Here is a 6,950-nt window from a genome sequence, read left to right on the forward strand (position 1 = left end):
AACCTGCCGGGAGCAGCGGTGTTGTTTTGGGATGGAGGAGGAGGCTGCGGGAGCGAAAGGGGTGGGTTCCTCGGGGTGGAGAGGGCGAGAGCCTTTCTGGATTCGAGAGAGGAAGATTCCAGCAGCTTGGGCGATCGGAGGGCAGGAGGGGAGCCGGGCAGAACTCAGCCGGAGCCAGAGGCTCGGAGAGACAAAGGGGGCGTGACAGCCCGCGCCGGGGGCTGAGGCGGGGCGGCGGGCGGGAGGTGCGCGAGGTGAGGGAGGTGTGGGGGGCGTGGGCCGCGGGATGCTGCCGCCCGCTCCGCCTCGAGCTCCAGCTCCGGTTTTTCCCTCCACCATCCTCTGCCCCTCCCCGCCTCTCCTTTAACTCCCCCCTCCTGGGCTCGGGACTGGTTTCCTCCCTTAGCCCGCTGCCCTCAATCCCAGCGAGGCTGGGGCTCCGGCTCGGCGCCCCCTTCCTCGCTCCCTGGTCCGGCGCCCCATGCCGCCCCCGCCCGGTCCCCGGCTCCCCCAGTCCCCCACTTAGGCGGGCTCACAGATCCCGGGGTGCTGGCGCGTGGGCCGGGGGCGCGTAGGGCGCCTGCAGACGGCCCCTGGAAGGGCTCTGGTGGGGCTGAGCGCTCTGCCGCGGGGGCGCGGGCACAGCAGGAAGCAGGTCCGCGTGGGCGCTGGGGGCATCAGCTACCGGGGTGGTCCGGGCTGAAGAGCCAGGCAGCCAAGGCAGCCACCCCGGGGGGTGGGCGACTTTGGGGGAGTTGGTGCCCCGCCCCCCAGGCCTTGGCGGGGTCATGGGGCCCCCCCATTCTGGGCCGGGGGGCGTGCGAGTCGGGGCCCTGCTGCTGCTGGGGGTTTTGGGGCTGGTGTCTGGGCTCAGCCTGGAGCCTGTCTACTGGAACTCGGCGAATAAGAGGTGAGTGGCCTGCGGCTGGGGAGATCCCAGACCCTAGGGCAGTGGGTAGGGAAGCTCTGGGGGCTTGGAGGCGGGCTTCTGTGGGCAGGGAGGAGGCGGGAGGGAAGGTGCTGGTGCTCTGATGTGTGATGGGTTACTAGACAGGTGATCTTGGGAGCCAGACTCCGGGTCCCACGCAGAGCTGGATGCGGGTGGTGCTATGGATGTCAGGAGTTTGGAGACCCCAAAGGGGCAAGGAGAAGAAAGTTCATGGGTAGCCGGGAGGGCAGTGAGGTGGGTATTTGGATCTGTGGGAGGCCTGCGTCGGGGGCTGGGCTTGGAGGGAGCCTGGTTACTGTCAGCTCTCAGGAGAGAGCTGCAGATTAGGTGCTGCGAGTCGCTGAGGGGAAGGCAGGGCAGGGTGCCTCCCTCCCCCAGAGGGACTGCGCATCCGAGATGGGAGGCAAGGGGGTTCCGTTTGGGGGCTCTGGGGACAACTTCCCCAAGGCTCCTTGACTCTCTTCACAGTCTGTCTCCCAACTCTTCCCCACAGCCAGAGGGTCAGTGAACTGTTGGCTGAACGATTTCCCAGCCAGAACATATTCCTGCCTTCCTGGCTTGCCGGCATCTTGCTGGAAGAAGCCTGGAGCCCCCTGAACCCTCCTTCCTTCCCTTTTGCATCTGGAGGACTCCATTGCCCCCTCCCCCAATCTTTGCTGCAAACTCTTCCATCAGACCCTCTGTTCCATGGCATGCCAGCTTTGCTCTGAAAAGAGGCCAGGGGTCAGATGAAACTTCAAGCCACGCTGGGTAGGACAGAACCTTCGGGAGGTCACCTGGGTCCCTTGCCTACATGCGGATCCCACTTCCCGCTCATAAAAGAGTTCTGTGTTTTGAAAAATTCCTACTTCCCTGGGGAGACTGTGTGAGGCCATGGGAAGGGGGTGGGCTTTGGAGCTCATCAAATCTTTGGTCTTAATCCTAGCTCTGCCGCTTTCAGCTGTGTGGCCTTGGGCATGTCACTTAACCTTTCTGAGTTTGTATCCTCAATCCTTACAGCTATTATGAGGATTAGCGGTAAGGTGTTTGAATGTATTATGTGCTCATTAAAGGAGAGCTAGGATTATTGTTCCTCTCTTTACTTCCCAGCCTCCCTCACACTTCTCTGCTCTGCCATCCCTCCCTCTCTTTTCCCTGGATCTCTTTGGGTATAATCTCAATGTCTTTTCTGTACTCAGTCACCCACCTGCCAACTCCCAGCTGCAATGTGAGTATCAGGTGTGTAGCTTGAGAACATAAGCTTGTTTTCACAGGGTAGAGAAAAGGGAGTTAGGGTGTCCTGGGGGCTCTTTCGGATGTGGGGTGGGAGTGGGACACTTGGGAGTCTGGGAAGATATCAAGTAGCAGTCCCCTGGGACCCAGTCCTGAGACCCTGTCTCAGCAGCTATTGATGTCCAGGAAGGGGCTGCAGGGGTTGGCAAGTTGTGGCTGTGCTGGGACAGTGGATGCCTGGGTGCACTGGCCAAGGAGATGGTGAAGTGTGTTGGTTGTGGTTAGAAAAGTCAACTCCTTTCCTTTCCAAAGCAATAGAGCACTTGCCCCAGAAGTCTAAGACCCAGTGTGGGATTCTGAGTGGGAGAATGACTCAGGCAGCAGGTTCCTAGACCCTGGTTCCCATCAGCCCCAATGATGGTCGTGGCCAAACCAGGCATTTGCCTTCTGTGCTATTAGCTGGCTAACTTAGGACACTGGTCTGGACCACCCTCCACACAGCCCCTCCCTGAACCGCCGCCCCCTTTGCCCGGAAATCCCTGAAATTCAGTGGTGGCCTGAAGGAGGGGAGGCTCTGCCCGCATGGTTGGCTGCCATGGAATAGTGAAATCACCTGGGAGGGGTGGGCTGTGTGGTTCCAGAGAGGCCAGCTCCTTGGTAACTGGCATCCTGTTGCCATGGCAACGGGGCTGGTGATGGAGCGGGAGATGGCGGTGTGCATGTGGTGAGGGCGGGCTGAAGAGTGGAGTGCATTTGGGCACACCAAGGGGCAGGAGACCCCTGAGCCTGGCTTCCTGCTGCTTCCAATGTGAATGCACAGAGTCCTTGGTGCCTGCTCTATAAGAAGAGACTTTCCACTCAGACAAAGGCGGGCAAGCGTGAGCTGAGAATTGCTGTCCTGGAAGGTTGTGGGGTGAGGGAAGGAAAGTTCTGGGGGCCAGGCCTCTGACATCTCTTCCTTGTCCACCTTACCCTCCTCCCCATAGGTTCCAGGCAGAGGGTGGTTATGTGCTGTACCCTCAGATCGGGGACCGGCTAGACCTGCTCTGCCCCCGGGCCCGGCCTCCTGGCCCTCACTCCTCTCCTAATTATGAGTTCTACAAGCTGTACCTGGTAGGGGGTGCTCAGGGCCGGCGCTGTGAGGCACCCCCTGCCCCAAACCTCCTTCTCACTTGTGATCGCCCAGACCTGGATCTCCGCTTCACCATCAAGTTCCAGGAGTATAGCCCTAATCTCTGGGGCCACGAGTTCCGCTCGCACCACGATTACTACATCATTGGTACTGCTGGGCAGAGGGCACGATTGAGTGGGGGGCTCCTGATACTGAGCAGAGAGGGAGGGGGACCCCTGCAGCCAAGAGGGAGATCCCAGTGCCCTCAGGCAGTGTTCACACCAGGGTGTGGGGCCAGAATCAGGGCTAGATTCTGGAGTGCCAACCTCTTCCTCTGGCTTTTCTCTCCCAGCCACATCGGATGGGACCCGGGAGGGCCTGGAGAGCCTGCAGGGAGGTGTGTGCCTAACCAGAGGCATGAAGGTGCTTCTCCGAGTGGGACAAAGTGAGTGGGGCTGGGGGACACCTCCTGGGCACGAAGGGACGTTGGGGCAGTACGATCATGGTTGGGGCAGTTGTCTCAGCCCCTCTCTGGGTCTTCCTCATCTCCAGGTCCCCGAGGAGGGGCTGTCCCCCGAAAACCTGTGTCTGAAATGCCCATGGAAAGAGACCGAGGGGCAGCCCACAGCCTGGAGCCTGGGAAGGAGAACCTGCCAGGTAGGAACCAGGGGCTAGGCCCCTGCCTTCCCCAGCTTCCTCTGCTCTCAGACCCCAGCTGCCCTGCCGTCACCCTCCCTCCCTCTTCAGTTTTGGGGGCGGTGATACAGGAAAGAGGAGAAGAGAGGATGGGAGGGTGGGAGGGGAATGGAAACCAAATGAGGAAAAGACTCAATTAGAACTAATTAGCCAAGTCAGTGCTTCAATCAGTGCTGTCAGAGAAGTGGGGAGGACTCCGTGGCAGGAAGCTGAAGGGCTGGACACCTGGATTCTGAGCAGAGTTCGGAGGGGGAGGAGAGATGGGGTCCCCAAGGGGCCTGGGCGCTACAAGGGAAGCCCATGGGGACCCCCAGGGTTGGGTGTCCAGGTGCCCAGGTGGCTCCTTCAGTCCCTCCCCCTCTTTCCTCCTTCACCCCTTCCCTGCCAGGTGACCCCACCAGCAATGCAACCTCCCGGGGTGCTGAAGGCCCCCTGCCCCCTCCCAGCATGCCTGCAGTGGCTGGGGCAGCAGGGGGGCTGGCGCTGCTCTTGCTGGGCGTGGCAGGGGCTGGGGGTGCCATGTGTTGGCGGAGACGGCGGGCCAAGCCTTCGGAGAGTCGCCACCCTGGTCCTGGCTCCTTCGGGAGGGGAGGGTCTCTGGGCCTGGGGGGTGGAGGTGGGATGGGACCTCGGGAGGCTGAGCCTGGGGAGCTAGGGATAGCTCTGCGGGGTGGCGGGGCTGCAGATCCCCCCTTCTGCCCCCACTATGAGAAGGTGAGTGGTGACTATGGGCATCCTGTGTATATCGTGCAGGATGGGCCCCCCCAGAGCCCTCCAAACATCTACTACAAGGTATGAGGGCTCCTCTCACGTGGCTATCCTGAATCCAGCCCTTCTTGGGGTGCTCCTCCAGTTTAATTCCTGGTTTGAGGGACACCTCTAACATCTCGGCCCCCTGTGCCCCCCCAGCCCCTTCACTCCTCCCGGCTGCTGTCCTCGTCTCCACTTTTAGGATTCCTTAGGATTCCCACTGCCCCACTTCCTGCCCTCCCGTTTGGCCATGGGTGCCCCCCTCTGTCTCAGTGTCCCTGGATCCTTTTTCCTTGGGGAGGGGCACAGGCTCAGCCTCCTCTCTGACCATGACCCAGGCATCCTTGTCCCCCTCACCCACCCAGAGCTAGGGGCGGGAACAGCCCACCTTTTGGTTGGCACCGCCTTCTTTCTGCCTCTCACTGGTTTTCTCTTCTCTATCTCTTATTCTTTCCCTCTCTTCCGTCTCTAGGTCTGTTCTTCTTCCCTAGCATCCTCCTCCCCACATCTCCTTTCACCCTCTTGGCTTCTTATCCTGTGCCTCTCCCATCTCCTGGGTGGGGGCATCAAAGCATTTCTCCCCTTAGCTTTCAGCCCCCCTTCTGACCTCTCATACCAACCACTCCCCTCAGTCTGCCAAAAATGGGGGCCTTATGGGGAAGGCTCTGACACTCCACCCCAGCTCAGGCCATGGGCAGCAGGGCTCCATTCTCTGGCCTGGCCCAGGCCTCTACATACTTACTCCAGCCATTTGGGGTGGTTGGGTCATGACAGCTACCATGAGAAGAAGTGTCCCGTTTTGTCCAGTGGCCAATAGCAAGATATGAACCGGTCGGGACATGTATGGACTTGGTCTGATGCTGAATGGGCCACTTGGGACCGGAAGTGACTTGCTCCAGACAAGAGGTGACCAGGCCCGGACAGAAATGGCCTGGGAAGTAGCAGAAGCAGTGCAGCAGGAACTGGAAGTGCCTTCATCCAGGACAGGAAGTAGCACTTCTGAAACAGGAAGTGGTCTGGCTGGAACTCCAAGTGGCTTAGTCTGGGGGATCAGGAGGTGGGAGGTGGATGGTTCTTATTCTGTGGAGAAGAAGGGCGGGAAGAACTTCCTTTCAGGAGGAAGCTGGAACTTACTGACTGTAAGAGGTTAGAGGTGGACCGAGAAGGACTTTTCCCAGTCTTCAGTGGCACTTCCCAAGATCTCCCTTCCCTTGTGCTCTGTGCTGATTTTAGGACAGCTAAGATGACTGCCATGTGCTGTGGCAGGCCTAATTTGTCTTGTTCTTTCCTTTCCATATCCCAGTATAATCTCTGTTAATCAACAGGACTACCCCAAGAACCCATGTGCTCTCCCGAGTAACCCAGATGGCTGTCTTGTTCATTCCATCCTACATTTCTGACTCCTTTCAGACTCAACACAGTTCCCTTCTTAGTGACCAAAATGGTGGCCTACTGGCTGGTCTAGCTGACAGTGGTACTTAGCAAAGGCCACTGTTTCCATAGTGACCAGCTGATACCTCTTCCTGCCCTCTAGTGTGCAATTGGGTGTTGCCTCAGTTTCCTCCCAGCTCAGTTTTATTAGATCAAAGCTGTTGTTGGGCACCAGGTTGGCCACCTCAATCACCAGCCAAGATGGTTGCTTTGTCCACCAGAGGTCAAGTTCACCTCTCTGGTGCTGTAGTTCCCAGCTCCTTCCTGATTTTTCTAATCGCTCCTTCTGGGGAACAGGAAGTTGATATTGCCATGGTGGCGGGGTATGCCGTCACCTCAGTAGTTTTACTGTAAAAGGGAAATTTGAACAACAAAAACCAAAAAAAATAAAAATAAAAAACTTCAAAAGTTGACAAGAAGGCTGGAGAATGACTGGACTTGAATTGGGACAAAGGCTTGGTTAGAATGGCTTTCAGCTGAGGGTTGGATTGCATGAAACCAACCAAGGGGGGTGGGTAGGGATAGGGCTAGTTTGGAGTGGTGAGGTTGGCAGTGCTTGGGGAGGCGAAAATGGGCTGGGCGAGAAGGCAGAGGAAGGTGTCACCTCTAGGGGAGGGAGAGAGTAATGCAGGCAGGAGTGGGGTCGCCAATTCATCCATGGGGACAGTCTGAGTGTCTTGCTAAGCCAAAGCACCAGAGACAGGGTAAGACGCAATTAGGATCAAAGTGGTAAAAACATGTTCACATGTTAAAGTCTATTCCCTACCATCCCTACCCAAGGCACTTGAGAAGTTTTGCTGT

At 58.4% G+C, this 6,950-nt stretch overlaps 1 protein-coding gene across 1 annotated transcript, besides 1 other annotated feature; it reads left to right on the top strand.

Annotated features, from left to right (window-relative positions):
* Positions 392-6,562, top strand: EFNB3 (ephrin B3). The gene is made up of 5 exons (NM_001406.4): positions 392-910; positions 3,148-3,440; positions 3,625-3,717; positions 3,825-3,929; positions 4,357-6,562. The coding sequence occupies exons 1-5, from the start codon at positions 789-791 to the stop codon at positions 4,764-4,766; spliced, it is 1,023 nt and encodes a 340-aa protein (NP_001397.1). The 5' UTR covers positions 392-788; the 3' UTR covers positions 4,767-6,562.
* Positions 770-1,661: an enhancer, noted in NCBI's record as "H3K4me1 hESC enhancer chr17:7608898-7609789 (GRCh37/hg19 assembly coordinates)". NCBI's record gives its function as "activates a minimal SCP1, AML or CMV promoter by ChIP-STARR-seq in primed H9 embryonic stem cells {active_cell/tissue: H9 hESC(primed)}" and the evidence as "EXISTENCE:reporter gene assay evidence [ECO:0000049][PMID:30033119]".
* Positions 6,563-6,950: the final 388 nt, after the last annotated feature.

The sequence above is a fragment of the Homo sapiens genome, chromosome 17, assembly GCF_000001405.40.
Source record: "Homo sapiens chromosome 17, GRCh38.p14 Primary Assembly".
Lineage (NCBI taxonomy): Eukaryota > Metazoa > Chordata > Mammalia > Primates > Hominidae > Homo > Homo sapiens.